Raw genomic sequence first — 27,812 nt, 5'->3', positions numbered from 1 at the left:
GCGCGCGCTTTTCCCGGGTGCCCGGGTAGCTGCGGCCGCAGCAGCGGCGGCGGGCATGGCAGAGGCGCGATCCCAGCCCTCGGCGGGGCCGCAGCTCAACGCGCTACCGGACCACTCTCCGTTGCTGCAGCCGGGCCTGGCGGCGCTGCGGCGCCGGGCCCGGGAAGCTGGCGTCCCGCTCGCGCCGCTGCCGCTCACCGACTCCTTCCTGCTGCGGTTCCTGCGCGCCCGGGATTTCGATCTGGACCTGGCCTGGCGGGTAAGCGTGCGTGCCCAGGGCGCTCGGCAGTGCGCACCTCACCCGCCCCGTCCCCCGCCCCACGACCCCGGATATCTGACCCCTGCCGAAGCCCAGGGTGCAGGCAGGACCCTGGCGGGTAACGCGCCCCTAACCACCCGGCGTGGGCGCTGAGGCTGTAGATGTTCCGAGAATCCAGAGCTGGTCCTCCAGTTTCTCTGGGTCATGGAAACGACAAAGCTAGAAAGTGTTGGAGTCATGGGATAATGGCCCATTTGATCTCAAGCATGGAGAACTCCTGCGCTAGATGAGTCTCCTGAACCTACAAAGTTTGGGGGACATGCCTTCCTCTCCCTGCAGGAAAGCCTGTGGTACAAACAAAGTAACAGCTTACAAGTTGGAAGCTCAGACTTATCACACGTGACCAGATTAACTACGTATAGCGGGGAAAATGAAATTGCTGGTAAAACTGAAGTTCTGAAGCCATATAGTAGCAACATAGTATTATTACTAGTAACACTTAAGTGTCAAGACAGTAAAGCAACCCAGTATAGTTCGAGTCTGGGTTGTAGTCGGGCAGTTCTTTTGGTTTCTGGTATGTTACAGCTCACTGAAAGAAAAGGTGATGGAAAGATAGGAATCAGAAAGAGGGATGCGACCTTGAGTTCTGTCACTTTAGGTTTGGTGTCCTTATCTGTTAAATAATGATGGAAATGCCTGTCTCATTGATTTTTTGTGAAGATTGAACATTAACCAGTTTAACAAAACAAGCTGTGCCCAGCACAGTGCCTGGCACACAGTAAGCATTCAGCAGTTCGACCAGATCTAGCCCTTTCTCTAAGTGGCTTGTTCAGTGTCACACAGCTGCCTAGCAGGAAAGATATTATAGTACAAAATTCCAGTGTGTCTCAGTATGAGGTTTTTGAGGGTTTCTCTTGTTTGTTTTAGAGTGAAAGCAACTTTATTAAGAATGTAAAGAAACAAAAGAATGGCTACTCCATAGAGACAGAGCAGCCTGAGGTTGTTTTTAACTTAAGTAAAATTATGGTAAAAATAATCTAGGTAACACAAAATCCTAAAACGTGAAAAGTAAGTTTCTAACAGTAACTTTCTAAAGGAAAAAAGCTCCCTACCTCAAACCTTAGTTTGTCAGTCACATACCCAGAGGCTGGTTAGTGTTACTCATTTATCTTTTTAAACAGCCAGAGGTTGCACAAGCATGTTTGTGTGTGATTTCTATTTTGCCTTTCTTACCTGTCTTTGAACTAGGAGCATCCCATATCAACTGGTATACATCCATCTTACTCTTTATTGGGCTGCTGTTATTCTACTGGATGGATATATTAGACTATATTAAAATGTATCTAACCTGTTATTGGACTTAGGGCTTATTGCTGTTCATTCCTTCATTCAACAATTATTTTTTGGACTCTACAATTTGCCTAGTAGTACACAAGATGCAGTCAACAAGGCGGCTGTGGTTTCTTCCATCACTGACTGGGCATTCCTCATGTCCTCATACTTTGTGCATAAATAGGAATATAAATTTACAGGATAAATTCAACCGGTGAAATTGCTGGATGAAATTAGATGTGTATTTTTCAGTGTTGAGTAATATAACAAACTGTCTTCCAAAGAGTTTTCAGTGCCTTCCAAAGGTCGCAGTAGCTCAGGCCTGCAATCCCAGCACTTTGGGAGGCTGAGGATGGTGGATCAATTGAGCTCAGGAGCTCACGAACAGCCTGTGCAACATGGTGAAACCTCATCTCTACAAAAAATAACAAAAATTAGCCAGGTGTGGTGGCACGTGCATGTAATCCCAGCTACTTGGGAGGCTGAAGTGGGAGAATCGCTTGAGCCCAGGAGGTGGAGGTTGCAGAGAGCCGAGATTGTGCTACTGCACCACAGCCTGGACAACAGAGTGAGGCCCTGTCTCAAAAAAAAAAAAGAAAAAAAAGAAAAAAAACTCTATAACTCATCACTCTGATATTACATGATTTTGCCTTTTCCTCCATAACCCACACTGTATTATCAAACACAATTTGTGTATAAACCTGCTAAAAGAGATATACTTTTTCATTGTTATTATAATATGCATTTATTTAAGTGTGATTAATAATCTTTTATATACATGTAAAATTTCAAAATTTCTTTCCAGTTAACTGAAAATGGCCTGTTTTTGCTTTTGTTCTTTTTTTTTTTTATTATACTTTAAGTTTTAGGGTACATGTGCACAATGTGCAGGTTTGATACATAGATATACATGTGCCATGTTGGTTTGCTGCACCCATCAACTCGTCATTTACATTAGGTATTTCTCCTAATGCTATCCCTCCCCCAGCTCACCACCCTCCAACAGGCCCCAGTGTGCGATGTTCCCCACTGTGTGTCCAAGTGTTCTCATTGTTCAATTCCCACCTCTGAGTGAGAACATGCAGTGTTTGGTTTTCTGTCTTTGTGATAGTTGCTGAGAATGATGGTTTCCAGCTTCGTCCACGTCCCTGCAAAGGACATGAACTCATCCTTCTTTATGGCTGCATAGTATTACATGGTGTATATGTGCCACATTTTCTTAATCCAGTCTATCATTGATGGACATTTGGGTTGGTTCCAAGTCTTTGCTATTGTGAATAGTGCCGCAGTAAACATACGTGTGCATGTGTCTTTATAGCAGCATGATTTATAATCCTTTGGGTATATACCCAGTAATGGGATTGCTGGGTCAAATGGTATTTCTAGTTCTAGATCCTTGAGGAATCACCACACTGTCTTCCACAGTGGTTGAACTAATTTACACTCCCACTAACAGTGTAAAAGCATTCTTATTTCTCCACATCTTCTCCAGCACCTGTCGTTTCCTGACTTTTCAATGATCACCATTCTAACTGGCGTGAGATAGTATCTCATTGTGGTTTTGATTTGCATTTCTCTGATGACCAGTGATGATGAGCATTTTTACATGTATCCGTTGGCTGCATAAATGTCTTCTTTTGAGAAGTGTCTGTTCATATCCTTCACCCACTTTTTGATGGGGTTGTTTTTCTTGTAAATTTGTTTAAGTTCCTTGCACATTCTGGATATTAGCCCTTTGTCAGATGGGTAGATTGCAAAAATTTTCTCCCATTCTGTAGGTTGCCTCTTCATTCTGATGCTAGTTTCTTTTGCCATGCAGAAGCTCTTTAGTTTAATTAGATCCCGTTTCTCAGTTTTGGCTTTTGTTGCCATTGCTTTTGGTGTTTTAGTCATGAAGTCCTTGCCCACACCTATGGCCTGAATGGTATTGCATAGGTTTTCTTCTAGGGTTTTTATGGTTTTAGGTCTAACATTTAAGTCTTTAATCCATCTTGAATTAATTTTTGTATAAGATGTAAGGAAGGGATCCAGTTTCAGCTTTCTACATATGGCTAGCCAGTTTTCCCAGCGCCATTTATTAAATAGGGAATCCTTTCCCCATTTTTTGTTTTTGTCAGATTTGTCAAAGATGAGATGGTTGTAGATGTGTGGTGTTATTTCTGAGGCCTCTGTTCTGTTCCATTGGTCTATATATCTCTTTTGGTACCAGTACCATGCTGTTTTGGTTACTGTAGCCTTGTAGCGTAGTTTGAAGTCAGGTAGCATGATGCCTCCAGCTTTGTTCTTTCTGCTTAGGATTGTCTTGGCAATGTGGGCTCTTTTTTGGTTCAATATGAACTTTAAAGTAGTTTTTTCCAGTTCTGTGAAGAAAGTCATTGGTAGCTTGATGGGGATGGCATTGAATCTATAAATTACCTTGGGCAGTATGGCCATTTTCATGATATTGATTCTTCCTACCCATGAGCATGGAATGTTCTTCCATTTGTTTGTGTCCTCTTTTATTTTGTTGAGCAGTGGTTTGTAGTTCTCCTTGAAGAGGTCCTTCACATTCCTTGTAAGTTGGATTCCTAGGTATTTTATTCTGTTTGTAGCAATTGTGAATGGGAGTTCACTCATGATTTAGTTCTCTGTTTGTCCGTTATTGGTGTATAGGAATGCTTGCGATTTTTGCACATTGATTTTGTATCCTGAGACTTTGCTGAAGTTGCTTATCAGCTTAAGGAGATTTTGGGTTGAGACGATGGGGTTTTCTAAATTTACAGTCATGTCTTCTGCAAACAGGGACAATTTGACTTCCCATTTCCTAATTGAATACCCTTTATTTCTTTCTCTTGCCTGATTGCCGTGGCCAGGATTTCCAACACTATGTTGAATGGGAATGGTGAGAGAGGGCATCCTTGTCCTGTGCCGGTTTTCAAAGGGAATGCTTCCAGTTTTGGCCCATTCAGTATGATACTGACTGTGGGTCTGTCATAAATACCTCTTATTATTTTGAGATACGTTCCATAAATATCTAGTTTTTTGACAGTCTTTAGCATGAAGGGCTGTTGAATTTTGTCAAAGGCCTTTTCTGCATCTATTGAGATAATCATGTGGTTTTTGTCATTGATTCTGTTTATCTGATGGATTACATTTATTGATTTGTGTATGTTGAACCAGGCTTGCATTCCAGGGATGAAGCCAACTTGATCTTGGTGGATAAGCTTTTTGATGTGCTGCTGGATTCGGTTTGCCAGTATTTTATTGAGGATTTTTGCATCGATGTTCATCAGGGATATTCATCTAAAATTCTCTTTTTTTGTTGTGTCTCTGCCAGGCTTTGATATCAGGATGATGCTGGCCTCATAAAATGAGTTTGTGAGGATCCCCTCTTTTTCTATTGATTGGAATAGTTTCAGAAGGAATGGTACCAGCTCCTTTTTGTACCTCTGTTAGAATTTGTCTGTTAATCGGTCTGTTTTTTTTTTTTGGTTGGTAGGCTATTAATTATTGCCTCAATTTCAGAGCCTGTTATTGGTCTATTCAGAGATTCAACTTCTTCCTGGTTTAGTCTTGGGAGGGTGTATGTGTCCAGGAATTTATCCATTTCTTCTAGATTTTCCAGTTTATTTGCATAGAGGTGTTTATAGTATTCTCTGATGGCAGTTTGTATTTTGTGGGATCGGTGGTGATATCCCCTTTATCATTTTTTTGTGTCTATTTGATTACTTGATTCTTCTCTCTTTTCTTCTTTATTATTATTATTATTTATTTTTTTTTTTTTTTTGATACGGAGTCTCGCTCTGTCACCCAGGCTGGAGTGCAGTGGCATGATTCGGCTCACTGCAAGCTCTGCCTCCTGGGTTCACGCCATTCTCCCACCTCAGCCTCCCAGTAGCTGGGACTACAGACGCCCGCCACCACGCCCAGCTAATTTTTCTGTATTTTTAGTAGAGACGGGGTTTCACCGTGTTAGCTAGGATGGTCTTGATCTCCCGACGTCGTGATCCGCCTGCCTTGGCCTCCCAAAGTGCTGGGATTACAGGCGTGAGCCACCATGCCCGGCCTTCTTTATTAGTCTTGCTAGCAGTCTATCAATTTTGTTGATCGTTTCAAAAAACCAGCTTCTAGATTCATTGATTTTTCAAAGGGTTTTTTGTATCTCTATCTCTTTCAGTTCTGCTGTGATCTTAGTTGTTTCTTATCTTCTGCTAGCTTTTGAATTTGTTTGCTCTTGCTTCTCTATTTCTTTTAATTGTGGTGTTAGGGTGTCGATTTGAGATCCTTCCTGCTTTCTCTTGTGGGCATTTAGTGCTATAAATTTCCCTCTACACACTACTTTAAATGTGTCCCAGAGATTCTGGTATGTTGTGTCTTTGTTCTCATTGGTTTCAAAGAACATCTTTATTTCTGCCTTCATTTCATTATTTACCCAGTAGTCATTCAGGAGCAGGTGGTTCAGTTTCCATGTAGTTGTGCGGTTTTGAGTGAGTTTCTTAATCCTGAGTTCTAATTTGATTGCGCTGTGGTCTGAGAGACAGTTTGTTGTGATTTCTTTTCTTTTACATTTGCTAAGGAGTGCTTTACTTCCAATTATGTGGTCAATTTTAGAATGAGTGTGATGTGGTGCTGAGAAGAATGTATATTCTGTTGATTTGGGGTGGAGAGCGCTGTAGATGTCTGTTAGGTCTGCTTGGTGCAGAGCTGAGTTCAAGTCCTGGATATCCTCGTTAACCTTCTGTCTCATTGATCTGTCTAATATTGACAGTGGGGTGTTAAAGTCTCCCATTATTATTGTGTGGGAGTCTAAGTCTCTTTGTAGGTCTCTAAGGACTTGCTTTAAGAATCTGGGTGCTCCTGTATTGGGTGTATTTAGGATAGTTAGCTCTTCTTGTTGAATTGATCCCTTTACCATTATATAATGACCTTCTTTGTCTCTTTTGATCTTTGTTGGTTTAAAGTCTGTTTTATCAGAGACTAGGATTGCAACCCCTGCTTTTTTTTTGCTTTCCATTTGCTTGGTAGATATTCCTCCATTCCTTTATTTTGAGCCTATATGTGTCTCTGCATGTGAGATGTGCTATAGACATCTGATGGGTCTTGACTCTTTATTCAATTTGCCACTCTGTATCTTTTAATTGGGACATTTAGCCCATTTACATTTAAGGTTAATATTGTTATGTGTGAATTTGATCCAGTCATTATGATGTTAGCTGGTTATTTTGCCCATTAATTGATGCAGTTGCTTCATAGCATTGATGGTCTTTACAATTTGGCATGTTTTTGCAGTGGCTGGTACCAGTTGTTCCTTTCCATGTTTAATGCTTCTTTCAGGAGCTCTTGTAAGGCAGGCCTGGTGGTGACAAAATCTCTCAGCTTGTCTGTAAAGAATTTTATTTCTCCTTCACTTATGAAGCTTAGTTTGGCTGGATATGAAATTCTGTGTTGAAAATTCTTTTCTTTAAGAATGTTGAATGTTGGCCCCCTACTCTCTTCTGGTTTGTAGGGTTTCTACTGAGAGATCTGCTGTTAGTCTGATGGGCTTCCCTTTGTGGGTAACCCGACTTTTCTCTCTGGCTGCCCTTAACATTTCTTCCTTCATTTCAACCTTGGTGAATCTGACAATTATGTGTCTTGGGGTTGCTCTTCTCGAGGAGTATCTTTGTGGTGTTCTCTGTATTTCCTGAATTTGATTGTTGGCCTGACTTGCTAGGTTGGGGAAGTTCTCCTGGATAATATCCTGAAGAGTGTTTTCCAACTGGTTCCACTCTCCCCATCACTTTCAGGTACACCTATCAAAAGTAGATTTGGTCTTTTCACATAGGCCCATATTTCTTGGAGGCTTTGTTCATTTCTTTTTACTCTTTTTTCTCTAACCTTGTCTTCTCGCTTTATTTTATTAATTTGATCTTTAATCACTGATACCCTTCTTTCCACTTGATGGAATCAGCTACTGAAGCTTGTGCGTGCATCACAAAGTTCTTGTGCCAGGCTTTTCAGTTCCATCCGGTCATTTAAGGTCTTCTCTACACTGTTTATTCTAGTTTGCCATTCGTTTAACCTTTTTTCAAGGATTTTAGCTTCCTTGTGTTGGGTTTGAACATGCTCCTTTAGCTCAGACAAGTTTGTTATTACTGACCTTGTGAAGCCTACTTCTGTCAACTCATCAAAGTCATTCTCCATCCAGCTTTGTTCTATTGCTGGTGAGGAGCTGTGATCCTTTGGAGGAGAAGAGGCGCTCTGGTTTTTAGAATTTTCAGCTTTTCTGCTCTGGTTTCTCCCCATCTTTGTGGTTTTATCCACCTTTGGTCTTTGACGTTCATGACCTACACATGGGGTTTTGGTGTGGATGTTCTTTTTGTTGATGTTGGCGCTATTCCTGTCTGTTTGTTAGTTTTCCTTCTAACAGTCAGGTCTCTCAGCTGCAGGTCTGTTGGAGTTTGCTGGAGGTCCATTCCAGACCCTGTTTGCCTGGGTGTCACCAGCGAAGGCTGCAGAACAGTGAATATTGCAGAACGGCAAATATTGCTGCCTGATCCTTCCTCTGGAAGCTTCGTCCCAGAGTGTCACCTGCCTATATGAGGTGTCTGTCGGCCCCTACTGGGAGGTGTCTCCCAGTTAGGCTATATGGGGGTCAAGGACCCACTTGAGGAGGCAGTCTGTCCATTCTCAGAGCAGAAATGCCATGCTGGGAGAACCACTGTGCTCTTCAGAACTGTCAGACAGGGACGTTTAAGTCTGCAGAAGCTGTCTGCTGCCTTTTGTTCAGCTATGCCCTGCCCACAGAGGTGGAGTCTATGGAGGCTGTAGGCCTTGCTGTGCTGCAGTGGGCTCCACCCAGTTCGAGCTTTTGGCCCACTTTGTTTACCTACTCAAGCCTCAGCAATGGCAGATGCCCCTCCCCCAGCCAGGCTGCCGCCTTGAAGTTAGATCTCAGACTGCCACGCTAGCAGTGAGCAAGGCTCCATGGGTGTTGGACCCGCCAAGCCATGCACAGGAGAGAATCTCCTTGTGTGCCAGTTGCTAAGACCTTGGGAAAAGTGCAGTATTTGGGTGGAAGTGTCCTGTTTTTCCCGGTACATCCGTCATGGCTTCCCTTGGCTAGGAAAGGGAAATCCCCCAACCCTTTGCACTTCCTGGGTGAGGCAATGCCCCGCCTTGCTTCAGCCCACCCTCCATGGGCTGCACCCACTGTCCAACCAGTCCCAGTGAGATGAACCAGGTACCTCAGTTGGAAACGCAGAAATCACCCATCTTCTGCATCGATCACACTGGGAGTTGCAGACTGGAGCTGTTCCTATTCGGCCATCTTGGAATGGATCCCATTTTTATGTTTTACTGATTTATAAAATATTTTTATGTATTTTAGGCCTTTTTATATATTTTAGGCCTTTGTCCTTGATTTTTATCTGTTACATTACTTATACTATTTTTTTCTGTGCAGAATTTTAAATTTTAATGTAATCAAATGAATTGATTTTATTAGTCTTTGATTGCCTCTGGGTTTTATAATCTCTTCTCTTGTCCAAAATTTTTTCTAGTTATTTGTGTCTTCTCTTTTTTATGTTGGGGTCTTTGATCTATTGAGATTTGTTTTTATGTTAGGAGTAAAATAGGAATCCAACTTTATTTATTTTCATTTTTTAGATGGCTATATAAGTATCCCAATATCATGAGTAATAAACTAATATGTACTTAGTAACTACTGAATATGAAAACACAATCTCAGGTCCTATGAAGAATGAAGCTTAAATGAGGCATTAAACATATATATGTATAGAGATAACTAACAATAAAACATGTTTCATTTACTAATTTCATTTTAGCTGCTTTAAAAAAAGTAATGTTTAAATAGAAAAATAAAATTGACCATCAGCCTCTGGGACATAATATATTTTTTTCTGTATTCCTTAAATAAGGAATTGTTTTCATTGTACCATGCCCTTGAGGAATTGGCTAGCAGGACTGTGTCTAAATCCACCGCATAGAAATCAAGTTTCTGTCTGTGAACTCTTTGTCTTGCTTTTCTGCCAACTGGAAAGGAAAAGGAAAGGGTAAGAGTGCAAAACTTTTTTTCATTTTCCTCTGCAATAGCACTTAATTCAACTCTAACTTCTTCATTCATAATATAGAAGCCCTATAGTTTTTGTATAAAGAAAGCTTGATAAGTGCCTCAGTCACAATGAAATTTCTCATTATTCTAGTGTTTGTATTTGAAGTTATGATGAATTAATAAGGTTTTATTATATAATCCTAATAGCTAATGTGCTTATAGAATGCAACATACTTTGGTAAGTAGGGTTTTCATGGATTATCTTTTATTATTTTCTCATTTTAGAAGAAACAGATATAAAGAGTAAGTAACTTGTCTGAAATTATGTAGCCATTAAGTGTTGAAGCAGGGATTTGAATTTGGGTTGGGCTCAGGAGAGAGCCTGCGCTGTCAAATACACTGCACTTGCCTCTTATATTTAAAACAACAAACATATAAAACAGCTAACCATTCACTTCTCTGCCTGTTCTACATAGTCTCATGAATTCCTTATATCAAGTGATAGCCTAGTTCCTTATACTTTTGTTCCATGTGATAAGCTTTTTATGCTATAATTATCTTTATGGTTTTCCCAAAGCTTTCCAAATTCCATAGATTCTCCCTGCTAATTTCTCTCTAAATGCAGCTTCTTTTATAAAATTTTTCATATCATGTGTCCATTTCAGTTTCCACTCTGCTCCTGATAGTTATTGCCTTTGAACAAATGTGTAATTTCTCATAGCTTTACTTTACTTTTTTTTTTTTTTTTTTTTTTTGAGACGGAGTCTGGCTCTGTCGCCCAGGCTGGAGTGCAGTGGCGCAATCTCGGCTCACTGCAACCTTCGCCTCCCAGGTTCAAGCGATTCTCCTGCCTCAGCCTCCTGAGCACGCACCACCACACCCAGCTAATTTTTGTATTTTTAGAGATGGGGTTTCACCATATTGGCCAGGATGGTCTTGATCTCTTGACCTCGTGATCCATCCGTTTTGGCCTCCCAAAGTGCTGGGATTACAGGCATGAGCCACTGTGCCTGGCTGGAGCTTTACTTTTCTTATTCTTATAATGCCACAACAGTAGCTACTTCTCAGGGTGATGGTGAGGAGGAATTCAAAAGATGGCATTAGACCCTATAAAAGTGCTCCAAATATGGTGGTTCTTATTTTGTTTCAAAGTACATGAAACATGTAAGAAGAAACCTACTCTGTTACAAAACATAGTTAACCCATAACATTTTAAATGTTTATTTACTTCTAATGTTTGCAAAACAGACACCTTCCAATGATGAATATTTATTTTTAGCCACTTCTTTGTTGTTGTTGTGGACATAGGGTGGTTTGTTTGAGAATTGCTCAGTAGCAGTTTATTTACATAATTTATTTATGACAGCTATACTGTGAATTTATGTATCAGTGGATAAGTAAAGACCAAAGTTCCAGGTTTAGATCTTTCAGTTTGCAAAAATTGTGCGAGATAGTGATTTGTGCCTCTTTACAGAAGTCAGTTTTTCAAGTGTGTGGTTCCAGTTGGTTTACTCATGACTTAATTTATTCTTTCATTCAACACGTGTTGTTATCTCCTGGGTGTGCAGCACTCTGCAGAGATGAATAAGCTGAGGCCCCTGCCAGTATTAAACCTAAATGATCCCTTCTAATGAAGCCACAACTTTTATCATTCCACAGGAAAAAAAAACACATTATTTCTATATAGTTACTAATGTGCAGCTTCCAGCATTTTACTTGAATTGGAATGAAAAAGATTTTTATGTCTGAGGAAACTATCAGAAAAGTAAAAAGCATTGTAAAATACTGTTAACAGTTATTCTGGTACCCCCTAAGACTGGAGGAGGAAGAGAAATGCACCGTGTAGAGTAGAATGAAGATATTAGGACCTACAATGTGCCTGTTGTTCTCATGCTTTTGGAAACTGCTATTTAGGTCACCAATTATTTCTTTGTTGGCAAATTGACTTTTTTCTTTCTTACTCCTCTCTTGCATTTAACTCTTAGCAACATTCTCTCTTTTTTCAAAGTTAAGAAAGGTTTATTAAATACAGAAATGAAATAGAGGGAGACAGACAGAGAGAGAAAGAGAGGGAGATAAATCAGAGATGGGGGTGAGGGGGAGCAGAGCAATGCAGATGGCACTGTCCTCCCTCTCGTGTACCAGTGCTGGTTCTCTTCAGGTCCACTCAGTTTCTGTCTTCCTCCAGCCATTCCCAGCCATTAACATTTCCCAAGGCTCAGCATTTCCCTCTCTAGTTTTTGTCGTTTGTAGTTTCTCCTCCAGATCATTGTGATTTTTGTGGTTATAGTTACCTTGTTTATTCCAATTACTCTCAAATATAAAATCTGTCATTTTCTCTGCACTGCAGTCTCACATTAATAAGTCTCTTTAAACTCAAAACAAATGTATTGTAACTTGTGAAAAATTGAGAGTGCCAAAAATCATGAGAATAAAATTAAAATATAAATATAATAATTTTTAAATACATAATTTGCTTTAGTATTTTCCACAATATGCTGGTAGTGTTTGTATGTTTGCGTATATGATTAGCTATTTCCGGTGGTTCTTTTGGAAAGAAAGAAAATGGGATTTCTTCAGACCATATTTTGACAAGATCCAGTATCCAAGTATACTGCTCCTGGGCTCTTCTAACTCATTTGATTGATTTCTATACTTCCTTATTTCAAAAAATACTAAAAGTGGTGTTTCAGCTTTCTATTGCTGAGCAACAAGTCACTCCAAGAATTAGTGGCTGAAAACACAATGATTTATTTGTTTTTGATATCACCAGTTTGGGCAGGGCTCAGTGGGAGTGGTTCATCTCTGTTCCACATGGCATTAGATGGGAACTTGGCTGAGGTCACACTATCCAGGATGTCCTCTCAACCTCCATGCCTCTCTCCACATGAATTGCTATCATTCAGTAATCTCACATAGTGTCTGGATCCCAAATAGTACATTCAGAAGGTACCAGGCTTCTTAAAGCTTGGCCCACACAGTATCACTTCTGCCAGTTGATATTAGATCAAAGCAAGGTGGAAGGCCAGCCTAGATTCAAGGGGAGTGAAGCAAATAGATGCCATCTCTTAATGGGAAGAATGGTGCATGGGTATCAGGAGGGGAGGAATTGGTGGCTGTCTTTGGAGGATATCTACCATGGGTGGTGAATGAAAGTTGCTCAGCTCTGAATTTGTGATTAACCCCTGTCACCTCAGATCCTTGATAAAAGAACTTTCAGTTTTCACAGCTGAAAAGATACCCTAGATTAAACTCTTGACATAATGGATGGCAAAGTTTATACACAATGCCAAAGCTTTTCTTCCATTTTTACAAAATCATTACCATGTATGCCATTTGTAGACAATTTTAATTTTATTTTTCAGTTACTAAAAAACTATTATAAGTGGAGAGCAGAATGTCCAGAAATAAGTGCAGATCTACACCCTAGAAGTATTATTGGCCTCCTAAAGGCTGGCTACCATGGAGTCCTGAGATCCAGGGATCCCACTGGCAGCAAAGTTCTTATTTACAGAATCGGTAAGTCATACACAACTCTTTTTTTTTTCTCCTCTCCTCCAGTTCAGTTGTGTTCCCTCCCCTCTCCTCTTCTCTCTTTCTTCCATTTCTTCCTTGAATACCATATAGAAAGCTTCAATGCATTCATCTTTAGGAATTTGGGCTTTAATTTAAAATTTTAGGTTTTAACTTAGATTTAATTTAGGTCTTAATGTCCCCCAAATATAATAACACTTTGGTAATTGTGAGAAAATTAACAGATACAAGTGAAAATCCTAGTTCCATTCTTCCACACAGTCAACTGTACAAAATAAGAAGAAAGGAAAATAGTGAAGATGAATAGTGTGAGAATATTTTAAAAAATCATGGAAAAGTGTTTCAAAAATGCTTAGTAGGAAGTGCAAATAAGAATTCTGAACTATTGGCTGGGCATGGTGGCTCACACCTGTAATCCCAGCTGAGGTCAGGAGTTCGAGACCAACCTGGCCAACATGGTGAAACCCCGTCTCTACTAAAAGTACAAAAATTAGCTGGGTGTGGTGGTGCATACCTGTAATCCCAGCTACTCGGGAGGCCGAGGCAGGAGGATTGCATGAACCTGGGAGGCAGAGGTTGCAGTGAGTCAAGATTGCGCCATTGCACTCCAGCCTGGGCAAAAGAACAAGAGTCCGTCTCAAACAAACAAACAAAAAACAACCAGAATTCTGGGCTATAATGTAAACTCCATGAGATTGTGGATTTCATCTACTCTGTTTGCTGGTGTATCCCAAGCACTGAAAACATGGTCTGGTACTTGGTAGGTAGTCACTAAATATTTGTGGAATGAGTGAGTGAATGACTAGTTCGAAAATGCCCCAGGCCGAGGAGCAAGAGGCTCATTCTCTTGGGTGGAGGAGGGTGCAGAGGAAAGGCAACTCCTCTGGGAGCTGTTGCAGACACGGTATTCCATTAACTCCTGTTTATTCTCATTGCATCCCCTTTTTTTCTATTAGGTGTAGCTAGTGTTTCTTGTAGGTTGGTGTCTTAGTGTATTCAGGCCACTATAACAAAATGACGTAGACTGGGTGACTTATAAAAACAGAATTTTATTTCTCACAGTTCTGGAGGCTGGGAAATCCAAGATCAAGGCACTGGCAGATTTGGTGTTTGGTGAGGGCCTGCTACCTGGTTCCTAGGTGACATCTCTCACTTTAACCTCACATGTTGGAAGTGAAAAGGCATCTCTCTTGGAACTCATAAGGGCACTAATCCCATTCATGAGGGTTCCATCCTCATGACCTCATCATCTTGCAAAGGGCCCACCTCTTACTACCATCACTTTGGGAGTTAGAATTTCAGCATATGACTGTTGAGGGGATGCAAACATTCAGATCATAGCAGTTGGTGACCTATAACTTCTGTCCTCCCTCAGACCTGCATATGATTAAAAATGGCCGGCACAGGAGAACGACTCACACTATTCCCAGAATTTCTCATGGCCCAGTTGAAGGACAAAGATAAACCAACATTTCATGACCAGAATTTTTTAATTATAATTTTACAGAAACAACTATATCTTTAAAGATTTAAAATATTTAAATATTTGCATTTCTTGCCTGCTTATAGATAAGATACCTGCCTGTAACTCAACTGCTTGCCATACTGCAAGAAGTTACTGTATTTAATTTTTGAAAGGATATTGGAAGATCGAGTAAAATGATTTGGGGCTGTTTTTTAATTTTTTTTGCCCTAGCTTAAGTGTCAAATAAAATTGAGTTAATCATGAAATCCCATCTATAAAACAGACATCATGATCTTCCTGTTCTTTCATTGCTGCACCAGTGTCAGAGGAAATTGAATGAGCTCATAGCAATGAAGTTCCTTGAGCTTCTTAGGGGTAGTCTTGCCAGATTTAACAAAGTACCTATGTTTTATTTAGGAAATAAACCTATATGTTATAAAAATAAAGGATGCCCAGTTATTTGAATTTCAGATAAACAACAGTTTTTTTAAAGTATGTATGGAGCATTCTTATGTTAAAAATTATATACTGGTTATCTGAAATTCAACTTTAATTGAGTGTTGTATATTTTTACCTGGCAACTCTACTCAGGGATCCAAGAAACATAAAACTGAAACCTGCAGCTAATTATTTTTGTAAATGTCTTGGCTCTGCATTGTCTGGCTAGATTTTATTGTGTCTAGTTTGTTCATAAAGTGACTGAGGCAGGTGAAGAAGTAAAAGTGACACCTTGATAGTGAGAAAGCAGATGTGCAGTTTTGATCATAAATACCTTAACACTGAACCAGTAGGGGTATTTTTCTGGGCCTCATGTAGCACATTAATTTAGAAGTATATTGTTTAACTCAAGAGATTTGAAAATCAAGAAAACATGTAACTTAGTGATGGTCAGAACAGGAAGGTATGTTGCAAATCTCCTGTATGTTCTGTTATTCTAGGATGAAAGGGAGAAACTCAGAAAGTTTTATGAGTAAAATGAAAACTTTTCTAAATTTGATTGAATTAATGGGAGGAGCTAAAGAAGGAAATCTGTGGTGGAACTTTTCGGTAGAACTTTAGCATAACCACCTTCTCTAGATACCATCTCTGTGCAGTAAAAGCAATGAGAAAATGCACACAGCCCTTTCCTCCATGCGGGCCGGGCAACCCAAGGTGAAGCTAAGTTTTGACCTTTATCAGCCAACATGCTGTAGGATATAATTTTATGTTTTTTGAGATCCCATAGTATACTACTAGCAGCAAAAGTAAAATTTAACAGTGAGTGTGAAGTTTTGACTGTGGCTTAGTTCTTGTGAATACAGGTTCTGGAGCATGTGACCTGGATTGGAATCTCAGCTCTGCTACATTCTAGCTGTGTGAAACACTATGTAGCTGTAACTGCATTTTCTCATCTGTAAAATGGGCACATTGAAAAGCTGTCACATAGGGTTGCTGTAAGCATTAAATCAATCTATCAGTCTGTCTATCTAAAATATAACAAGAGCATTACCTGGTACATAAAAGCACTCAATACATATTAAGTAGATACTGGAGAAGGAATTCAAAATATAAGGTATATTTTTCTTTTGCCTCAATGGAGCTTAAATTCTAGCCAGCACTGTACCATAGAACTTTCTATGATGATGAAACTGTTCTACAATAGACACTATTCTCATGTGGCTATTGAGCACTTGAAATGTGACTACTGCAACTAAGAAACAGATTTTTTTTTTTTTTTTCTAAGCTAGGGTCTTACTCTGCCATCTGGGCTAGAGTGCAGTGGCACAATCATAGCTCACTGCAGTCTTGAACTCCTGGGCTCAAGTGATCCTCCCACTTCGGCTTTTGGAGTAGCTGGGACTAGAGGCATGTGCTACCACACTCAGCCAGTTTTTTTATTATTTTTATTTTTTAGAGATGCATTCTCACTATGTTGCCCAGGATGGTCTCACTCCTGGCCTCAAGCAATCCTCCCCCATCAGACCCACAAAGTGCTGGGATTCTAGGCATGAACCACTGCACCTGGTGAAACTAAATCTTTAATTTAAATTTGAATGACCACACATGGCTAATGGCTACCATATTAGCCAGTGTAGGCCAAACAATTATGTTGGTTGGCTCAGAACTTAGGACATAAACTATTTTTTTGATTGGCAAACTTCATATGTTCTTTTTTTTTTTTTTAATCATTATAGCATTCAGCCAATGTCTGAAGTTAGTATAGTATTTTTGATCTGGGTTATCCATGGGTTGATTGTTCAAATTCTTATGAGAAATCTGAGGCTTGTTTTTTTGTTTTGTTTTGTTTTGTTTTGTTTTTTTGAGACAGAGTCTTGTTCTGTTGCCCAGGCTGGAGAGCAGTGGGCCATCTCGACTCACTACAACCTCTGCCTCCCGAGTTCAAGCGATTCTCCTGCCTCAGCTTCCCAAGTAGCTGGGACTACAGGTGTGTGTCACTATGCCCAGCTAATTTTTGTATTGTTAGTAGAGATGAAGTTTCACCATGCTGGCCAGGCTGGTCTTGAACTCCTGGCCTCAAGTGATCTGTCCACCTTGGCCTCCCAAAGTGCTGGGATCACAGGTGTGAGCCACCATGCCCGGCCAGAAATCTGAGGCTTTTAAAAAACACTAACACACCTCCTGAAGGATCCATTAATATGACAGAAAATAAAAATTTTTAAAAAATAGCAATCCCATTGTGGCTTCTTAGGAATATTTCTGTTTATTCTTTCTTTTTCTAGATCTTCAACTTTTCTCTTGCTACTACATGCTACCAGTTAACATTTAAATCAGTTAAGGGCCAGCCACTAAAAACAAAACAAAAACTCCTCATTCGTTCCACAAAACTCTCCCTCCTTCATTACATCTATCTCCCCTCTCTTTGTTAGTGATGTCCACCATCCACATTTTCTCACAGTTCCTCCTCAGCCCACCCTAGTTTGATTTCACTCCCATCCCTGCTGAAATGAATGTAACCAACCATTATTGACTTTCTTTTTACCACATTTAATGGACATATTTAGTCCTATTTCACTTAACCTCTCAACAAAGTGAATCACTTCTGCTTTCTTGAAAAATCCTCTTCCCTTGGCTTCTCTGATGCCATGTTCTCTTGGTGTTTTTCTCTGACATCACTGGCTGCTCCTCCTTAATCTCTTTTTCTGGCATTTCCTCTTCTACTCATCCTTTAAACTCTGAATTTTTTTAGGACATTGGCCTCAGCCTTTTCTTTTTATGTTACTTCATCTCTCTGCTTTGATAGAGAAAAACATAGCTCTGAGACAATCCCTGTTGTGGATCATCATGTAGGCACAAACAGCCCCCAGATTTGTATCTTCACTCCCATCTTTTCCTTGAGGATCCAGACCCACACAACTAGCTGCTATTCCAGCTGCACCCAGTTGGATGTCTCATGGTCACCATTTTAACATGTCCATACTTATAATCTTTTCCACCCAAACAGGTCTCTTATCTCAATAAATGGTACTGCGTGTACACCATGGAGTACTACACAGCCATAAAACGAATGACATTATGTCCTTTGCAGCAACAGGGATGCAGCTGGAGGCCATTATCTTAAGTGAATTAAAACAGGAACAGAAAACGAAATACCACATGTTCTCACTTATAAGTAGGAGCTAAACACTGGGTGTTTATGACATAAAGATGGGAACAGTAGACACTGGAGATGACAAGAGAGGAGAGGGAGGGAGGGGAGCAAGCGTTGAAAAACTTCCTATTGGGTACTGTGCTCACATACCTGGGTGACAAGATCATTTATACCTGAAACCTCAGCATCATGCAGTATACCAAGGTAACAAATCTGCACATGCACCCCCTGAATCTAAAATAAAAGTTGAAAATAAATAAATAAATGGTGCCACAATTCTATCCAGTTTCCCATGCCAGAACTTTTGTTGTTTTTTTTTTTTTTTGAAAATTTACTATTGCTTAGTTATGATTTTTTTTTCTTTTTCGTTCATCCTGTTAGGCACTTCAGTCTGAAGACTTACATGTTTTTTTTTTCAGCTTTGGAGAACTTTTCTCTATTGCTATGATTCCTCTCTCCTCTGTTTTCTGTTACTGCCTTCTAGAACTTTTATTAGTTGGATGTTGAAACTCCTGGATCCAGCTGCATGTATTTCTTACCTTTCTATTCATACATGTCAACTCTTGGCTCTTTTGTGCCAAATTTGAGAGAATTCTTCAACTTGATCTTCCAAACCATTTTTCCTCGATTGGCTCTGTCTTTTCCAGCATTTATCTTATCAATGAATGTTTTTTAAAAAACTTATCTTTTTATTTCTAATATCTCAATGGAGTCTTTTTAATAATAGCCTGTTTTTATAATAATAGCTTATAGTATTCTCCCCACCCCCTGCTGAAACTATTACGCTTCTTTAAAAAAATTCTTTGAATTTTTTTACAGACCGGTTCTTGCTATGTTGCCCCGATTAGACTTGAACTCCTGGGCTTCAGTGTTCCCCCTCCCCCCACCTCAGCCACCCGAGTAGCTGGAAATACAGGCACCTACCACTGCACCTGCACCTGGCTTCTATTATGTTTTTTAGTGTCTCCTGCTTTCTTACTTTCTCGAGTTGATGCCTTTGTCTATTGAGTTTGGTTTCCCTCTCTTTGTGTGTGTATGGATGTGTTTAATATTCTAATTTTTAAGGAATAGATGTCTTTTAAAAAAGATTATCTGCTTGTCCATCCATTACTGTCATTTCTGCATGGCGTGGCCTGTCCTGGGGTGGTGGGAAGGGATGAGATGAGTGAACAAGAATCTCAGTAACTCCTGTCTTAGCACAGGTACTCCCTGTTTCTCTTTGGTGTGAGCAGCTACCTAAGTGCTTCCGTGGCTCTTCTTTCCCAAGCCCTCAATTCCTGCTCTAGCCTACAGGGACATGACTCTGCTATGTGCTGCTTACTACTGGAAGGCTGTCAGAGGATCAACTTGCCTGCCTGTTCCTCATGCATTTCTCTTAGCAACCTCTTTAGTTACTATGGGGCCCTAATTACTCTTTATAATCCAGGCCCTTGCTTTTCCATTTCCAACATCTCTGAGCTTGGAGCATACACAATGGCATTCCCATCTTTATGTGAGGTTGTGACTTCATCTTGCAGTCAAATTCAGCCTGTGTCCATTCCTTTTTCCGCAATACTCTTTAAAAGCCATTCTTTGCTAGAATTTGAGGAGGAAGGGAGAAGCAGGCACATGTTCTTGGACGCCAGTTGGATTTATTAATCAATTCTTGATCTTTGTAGATGTTTTTATTTCAACTGATCTTTTAAGAATAAAATGAATTAGTCTCCCTTTGGAAATCTTTCTGATTTTTTACACAATGCTAAGATATGATATGCTTTATTTTTTTTAGCACACTGGGACCCCAAAGTTTTTACAGCTTATGACGTATTTCGAGTAAGTCTAATCACATCCGAGCTTATTGTACAGGAGGTAGAAACTCAGCGGAATGGAATCAAGGCTATCTTTGATCTGGAAGGTTGGCAGTTTTCTCATGCTTTTCAAATCACTCCATCCGTAGCCAAGAAGATTGCTGCTGTACTTACGGTAAATGTATATTTTAACTGTCAGGCATAATACTTCCAAATTATAGTTTTAAATTTTGTTATATGTTAGACAAAGAGAAGCAAAAGTACATTTGTTAGAAATTTAAATACAATTTTGGAAATGATGTGTAGAATTCAACAATGCTAAGAGGAAGTAAAATGTTATTAGTTTATAAAAGAAAAAATGTTGCAACAAACTGCAAAAATATGTTCAAATTAGTAACGAGAGGATTTATGCATCTTAATATGTGGTGACTTTATCTTTTTGTCATTAACTTTTTTTCCTAAATTAAAAATTGATTAAAAAATATAATATATCAATGGAACAATAAAATGTCACATAAGTCTTGGTAGGTGTATATTGATATCTTTTTTTTCCAAAAGGTTTTTAAAGTGGTCATCATCTTTGACTCAGTAATTCTATTTCTGGGAAACTAGCTAAGGAATAATCTTTAATATATTAAAGATTGCGTATAATAATAATAGCTTACTATGTGCCAGGTACTTTGCTAAGTGTTTCAAATGCATTATCTTTTAATGTCCACACTGAGCCTATGACATATGACTATTGTATTTTCCCACTTTACAATTAATAAACTATATCCGAGAAGTGACATAGCGATGCCCAGGCACACACAGTTTGCCAGTAGTGAAGTGAGAATTCCAGCCCAGGTCACCTGAATGTAAAAGTCGTGCTTATAACCACCACTTCTCCTATACACAAAGACAGTTACTGCAGCATCAATTTCAGTAAAGAAGTAAAATAAATAGTTTATTAGTCCAGAAAATAGAAACATGGTTACTTAAAAAATGTACATTCATTTGATGGATTCTTGCAACAATAATAAAACATGATATTTGCAAAAGCTGTATTGTATCAGTGGAACACAACGGGATGAAAATTATTTAGAAAGTATATTAGCAATTATGTTTAAAAGAAAATTATGCATAGAAGGGATTTGGAAGGACAATCCCCAAATTAATAATACATCTCTGAAAGTGATGCATGGAAAAAATAAAAGAACTTCACATAAAAGAACCTTGGAATGAAAGGTCTCTGTATTAATAATACAACTTGTAGGTAGGAAAACCATCTTTTTCCTTCAACTCTTAACTTCTTAAACTTTCTAAATAAGCCTATATTACTTTGATGCTAAAGACATATACCAATGTCAAAGTTTAAAAGTGTGTGTTTATTGTGCTAGTCTTTCAATATTTGTGATTTTTTTTCTCAAAATAAACATTTTTTGGGAAAAAGTTAAATATAAATTTCCAAATGACTCATTGGTTCGTTAAAAGAACATCTATATGTGATGGGAAAGGAATTTTCTGGTGAAAGTGTGCAGATATTTTGTAAAATACTTTGCCAAATCTATAAGGAGAAACCTTTTTAGAGATCTTTACTTAATCTAGTGACAGTGAACTGTAAGCCAGGCTTTTGTGCTGATGGAATAAATAATTTTGAAGATAAAATCACACACTTTAGATATTTCCATAAGCTTAGCAAGTGTTCAAAGAAGAAACTTGACATTAGGTATCAGATTGTAATATTTATGTTTTGTTATTAAGATTTTTTTATTTTCAAAAGGATTCATTTCCATTGAAAGTTCGTGGCATCCATTTGATAAATGAACCAGTAATTTTCCATGCTGTCTTTTCCATGATCAAACCATTCCTGACTGAAAAAATTAAGGAACGGGTGAGTAAAATATATTCAAGTCTGTGTTCCTCTACACCAAACATTCCAACCCTTTTTAATTTAAGGATTGCTTTATCATCTTTCCTCGTACCTGCCCATCTATATCATTAGCCCAATATTTTGAATATTTATCTAACAAGCCAACTAAAAAAAAGTAAATTAAAATTTACTTTTAATTTATAAAAATCAAGTATATTGGTTGTAAGACTGTGGGGTAACTGGGCTTTTCATACACTGCTGGTTGGAATGCTTAATGGTATATTCCTATAGAGGGCAGTGTGGCAAAGACATCAAAATCACTGTCTTGAATTACCTATACCTAAACAAAATTACATATGCTAGAGGAGTCACAGCAGCAGAAGACTGAAAACCAGGAAGTGTTCACCATTAGGGCATTGGTTAAATAAACATCTACACAACAGAAAACAACGAGATTGCAGGATGTTTTGTAAACTGAAATAAACAAAATGTGGAATAGTGTTTATGGCATGCTACCTTTTGTATACAAAGGGGAGAAATAAGAATATATTTCATAAATTTACATTAAAAGGATATACAAAAAATAATATAAGTGGATATCTATAGGGAACAAGAGAAGAGGTGTGAACTACAGTAGATGAGAATAGGTTTGGGAGCAAGATCTCTCACTGTGTATCTTTTATCTTGTTTTGATTTGTAACCATATGAATTTATTATTAATGCAAATAAAAATAAACATTTTTCTTAAACAGTGAAGCCTACTTAACGGTTTCAGTGTAACTGAGAACCACGGTAACTGAGGTATATGACTTAATGTCATGCTAGTTAGAGCAAAGATACTGGATTTTTTCTTCTTTACCTAGCCTATGGAGCCTTATCTCAGAAAAAGCATCTCATATATCTTAGACTTTTTGAAAGGTTGAAAATAGAGTCTGCGTTCTCAAGAATGGCAACCATTCTAAACTAATCTGTAAAGAAGAATTTTTAGAGCATCTATTTAGACAAACATTGGCATCATCTAATGCCTTGAACACAAAACAATTTGTAAAGGTTTTAACAGTTTAAATCTAAAAAATCACTGAAATGTCAGCAGTGATAATATAAACTGTAATAGCACATTTGGAATTTTAGAAACGATGTTCTTTCATATTAAGAAAATATAACATCTTATACCTGGTCAGAAAGTTATGACCCTAGAGCTTCTTTAGAGGTTATGCAGTGGATGCTTCTGTTTGTCTTCAAGAACCACCCTTAAATTGCCTGCTTTAGCAAAAATGGCCACTTTCAGCTACTTTTCATTCTAGTATTTTTATACAAATCAATTTTGTTTGTTCATTTTTTTCTCTCTTCAGTGTAACTTGATAATATCTGGCTTCCCTCTGTTTAATTCTTAGAGATCTAAAAATAACTATTTCTATTTTGAGTAATATTTTAGATAAAAACAAAAACAAGAATAAACTGAACCTAAGAAATAGGAGAATATGGAGAAAAAAGCAAAAGTAAAAAGTTGAGAAGTTAGGGGAAGGATGTCAGTGAAAGTTAGTTGACGGGAAACAGACTTGCCAAAATAGGGAGAAAAAAACTCTGATCCAGCCACTTTTTTCCTTTTTAACTTTTTGGCAATGCCCCATACATTTTCTTATTTTGCCCCTTCCTGAGGAGATAGAATTTCTTCTCAATTACCTGATAATATTTTACATATTTCAGAAAAAATTAAAGATTGGCTTTGTGAGTTTCCTAAGTGAGTATAGGAAACTCATTTCATCCATCAAACCTCATATCCCAGCACATAATAGATGCTTATTAAATGATTGTTGAATACATAGAGGAACATTTTGCCCTAGAAAGTGAAAAAAGGTTATTTATTTATTTTAGCAGGTATGCTTTTGGTTCAAGTTTCTACGGCTTTCTCTTAACTTCAGGGCATTCTATGATCAATTTTATAGTTTAAAATATTTGAAAAGTTAAGGTTCTCAACTATCATAATTGTTTTTTAATACTTTTTTAAAATTTGACTTTTTAATTCTTTTAATTCTTTTTTTTTTTTTAGACAGGGCCTCACTTTGTGCAGTGGCACGATCTTGGCTCACTGCAACCTCCACCTCCTGGGCTCAAGCAATCCTCCTGCCTCAGCCCACCAAGTATCTGGGACTACAGTCCTGCACCACCACGCCCAGCTAATTTTTGTATTTTTTTTGTACCAGCCATGTTGCCCAGGCTGGTGTTGAACTCCTGAGCTCAAGTAATCCACCTGCCTTGGCCTCTCAAAGTGTTGGGATTACAGGCATGAGCCACTGCACCCGGCTGTCTCTTAACTTTATACTAACTAACAGTATCCATCGACTGTACCATATAAATTGTTTCTCATAGATTTAATTGTGTGCTCAGATATATGCTTCTACTTAATATGAATTAGTACCAGCTAGTACATTTTTATCGTGTATAGAATAGTCCCAAGGTATTAGTTTGGTAAGAATCACTTGCACATAAGGGAATAGAATTTATAAAATAACTTTATTTAATCTTTAAAAATTTACTTATGAAAGAGGAAAATAACTTTTTATAAATTTTATGCAGTTATAAGAATGCAAATCCAAGAAACAGTAAGGTTATTAGATCCACAGTAATACAACCTAAACATAAGTAAAATTATTAGATTCATAACCAGAGGAATAAAGGATGTGGTATCTATTTATACACTCCATTTTAGAAGTTATTAGAATACCTTGTTTTATGAGGTTGATTTTCCACTGGAAATGCATCTAATGCGGTTTCCTTCTAAAGTGTTTTGGCTATTTCAGATTCACATGCATGGGAACAACTACAAACAAAGCTTGCTTCAGCATTTCCCAGACATTCTTCCTCTGGAATATGGTGGTGAAGAATTCTCCATGGAGGACATTTGTCAGGAATGGACAAATTTTATAATGAAGTCTGAAGATTATCTCAGCAGCATTTCTGAGAGCATTCAATGAGAAGTTATGTCATGTGAATGGCTTCCTAACTAAAAATACATGAGTGATATCCAACCTGGTTAAATGAATGAAAGAAAAGGAGCAAATCTTTTAAACTAATGCTTGCCTGAACTTTAAAAATGTAGAAATCTTCTGACATGAGCAACACAGGTGTTTGGAAAGATTTTTTACTTTTTAAATGCTTTTTTCTCTACTTTTGAAGTAATTAAATGTCAGTACATTTTAAGAGCATAAAAATCGGCGATTTTGTACTTGAAGAGAACATGAAAGTTATTGCTAAAGTAGCTGCTCATGTGCATCTTTGTATGTTTCTAGAAAGTTATATTTTAAACAAGTTCTCTGATTAAATTGGTTTAGAAAAAAATTTAGAAATATTCCGCTTAAAAATACTAGCACAAGTCAGCTAATGATAAAAAAATTAACACTTGTTTTAAGTGGATGTCAGATTAAATTATAATTCATTATAATTAAAATCTGAATAGAGTTTTATGGTTATTCCTGTGGACCAGCAAGACATTTCATCTCAGGGAAATTTTATTTTAGTATATTAACACGATAGAAACTTTTTTTTTTTTTTTCAGACAGAGTCTTGCTCTGTCGCCCAGGCTAGAGTGCAGTAGTGAGATCTCAGCTCACTGCAACCTCTGCTAGGATTACATGTGCACACCACCACTCCTGGCTAAGTTTTGTATTTTATATAGAGATGGGGTTTTGCCACGTTGGCCAAGCTGGTCTCAAACTCCTGAACTCAAGTAATTTGCCTGCTTCGGCCTCCCAGAGTCCTGGGATTACAGTCGTGAGCCATCGCGCCTGGCCGTGATAGAAACTTTCAGCTGAGGAGTCTATATGCCATACTACTCTATGTGGCATCTTTAGGTCTCTGTGAAATCATGTTGATGTAATTGATTAACAAAAATAATTTAGAAAATACGTCAGGCACAGTTGATGGCTTCTCAATATCTGCTTTGCATTTTTAAACAAATCAAGAATGTAATTTTAACTTTTGCTTATGGTCATTCTTATGACTACACGGAAAGGGATGGAATCATACTTACTTGTCTTATACATGGACTGTTTTTAGTTAACAATAACGTAACTACACAAAGGAAAGGAAATGTTTACATTTTAAAAAATTACTGTCAATTACATCTGGTATTTTTCAGATTATGCATAAAATAATATGAGTTTGACTATTGTATCAGAATATTTTAATCAAATCCTGCAATTTATATTAACTTAAAAAAACATCTGGTAAAGACTGGGTGTGGCAGCTCACACCTGTAATCCCAGCACTTTGGGAGGCCGAGGCTGGATGGATGATTGCTTGAGCGCAGGAGTTCTAGACCAGCCTGGGCAATACAGGGAGACCCTGTCTCTATTTCAAAAATAAATAAATAGGCCCCGGTGTGTGATGTTCCCCTTCCTGTGTCCATGTGTTCTCAAAAAAAATTAAAAAATAAAAATAAAAATAAATAAATAAATAACCGGTAAAGATGTACTGTTTCTACTGCAGTTTATAATATTTCATTTATTAAGAAAGATATCATCTCAGCTTTCAAATTCAACATAGCCCTCAATTTATGACATAAGTTTTATACTTAGTATTTTATAATTTCTTAATTTTGTTATAAACTTGAAAATGTAGAATATGGGGTCCAAAATCTGTTGAACATTTGTTCAGCTAGTTAGGTTTCAACATTAATCATATACATTAATAGTATCTTTATGTAAGGATATGTGAAGGGTGTTTTTCTTTATAAGAAAATTAGTTTAATCAGGTGAGCTGATACTTAGGATTATACATATATCTATGATAAAATTGAAAGTAATTGTGGTTGTTCTTTAGAGAACGTGTTTTGATTTTGACTTAGTATTGGGAAGCTAACAACATTATAATTTTTATTAAAAAACTGGACCCTGGGCCGGGCGCGGTGGCTCACGCCTGTAATCCCAGCACTTTGGGAGGCCGAGGCGGGCGGATCACGAGGTCAGGAGATCGAGACCATCCCGGCTAAAACGGTGAAACCCCGTCTCTACTAAAAATACAAAAAAATTAGCCGGGCGTAGTGGCGGGCGCCTGTAGTCCCAGCTACTTGGGAGGCTGAGGCAGGAGAATGGCGTGAACCCGGGAGGCGGAGCTTGCAGTGAGCCGAGATCCCGCCACTGCACTCCAGCCTGGGTGACAGAGCGAGACTCCGTCTCAAAAAAAAAAAAAAAAAAAAAAAAAAAAACTGGACCCTGCCTGTTTTCTAAAAAACACTTTAAAGTATTTTAAAATAAAAGCATACTATTTAAAATTGTATAATTAAAAATAATAAAAGAACAAAATCACTTAAAAAGAATAAACAGTGTCAATAACAAAAAACCTCTGGCTTACCCAACTTTTGTTTCTAGAAGATTTATATCAATCACCAGTTCCACTTCATTTATTTTTGTTTATTTCAAACACTTTCTTATGACTCTGTGGAGGAGTGATTAGTTTAGTACCCAAATAAAGGATAACATTTTAAAATGTCCTTTAAATTAGATTTTTTTGGTGATAGGTTCCATAGTAAATAGAATTAAGATAAGTCAGTTAATCTAGGCATATTTTATGATGGAACTTTGAAGTGTTTATAAATGAAACAATTCACTGAAGAACATTAAAAGAAAATTGAAATGAATGGTCAAATTAATAAAGTGTCAAAGCAAATAATTGTCTAATTGTCTATATTACTTTAGTGATTATGCCAGAAGTGCCTTTTAAAAGGTTAACTGTATTATGTGCTCATTGTGTTACTCAACTGCACGTAATTTATTTGTTTTAATATTGTTTGAAAGAAAATAAACATCTTTCACATAAACCATAGTGTACAAGTTATTTTTTAATTTTAAAATGTAAATATGAGGCATTCTTTTTCAAAAACTGCTTTTCCTTACAGAAAAAAAAATCTTAGCACATCTATTTGTCCATCACTCCAGTGTCAGTTTTTTCTTCATAAGTTTAA

At 38.0% G+C, this 27,812-nt stretch overlaps 1 protein-coding gene across 9 annotated transcripts; it reads left to right on the top strand.

The window, feature by feature from the left end:
• Positions 24-27,668, top strand: TTPA (alpha tocopherol transfer protein). 9 transcript variants are annotated; one of them, NR_182150.1, is made up of 6 exons: positions 24-259; positions 9,490-9,624; positions 12,989-13,142; positions 19,980-20,173; positions 21,761-21,871; positions 24,652-27,668. NR_182150.1 is itself a non-coding variant. In NM_001413418.1 (6 exons), exons 1-6 carry the CDS (start codon positions 56-58, stop codon positions 24,823-24,825), a joined length of 954 nt encoding a protein of 317 aa, NP_001400347.1. In that variant the 5' UTR covers positions 24-55; the 3' UTR covers positions 24,826-27,668. The 9 variants fall into 9 exon arrangements, 6 of the variants coding, with proteins under 6 accessions (NP_001400347.1, NP_001400345.1, NP_000361.1 ...); NM_001413418.1 differs by lacking the exon at positions 9,490-9,624 and adding an exon at positions 16,931-17,047; NM_001413416.1 differs by lacking the exon at positions 9,490-9,624 and having other exon boundaries at positions 23,901-27,668.

Source organism: Homo sapiens, chromosome 8, assembly GCF_000001405.40.
Source record: "Homo sapiens chromosome 8, GRCh38.p14 Primary Assembly".
Classification (NCBI taxonomy): Eukaryota; Metazoa; Chordata; class Mammalia; order Primates; family Hominidae; genus Homo; species Homo sapiens.
This window is presented reverse-complemented; position numbering and strand designations above follow the sequence as displayed.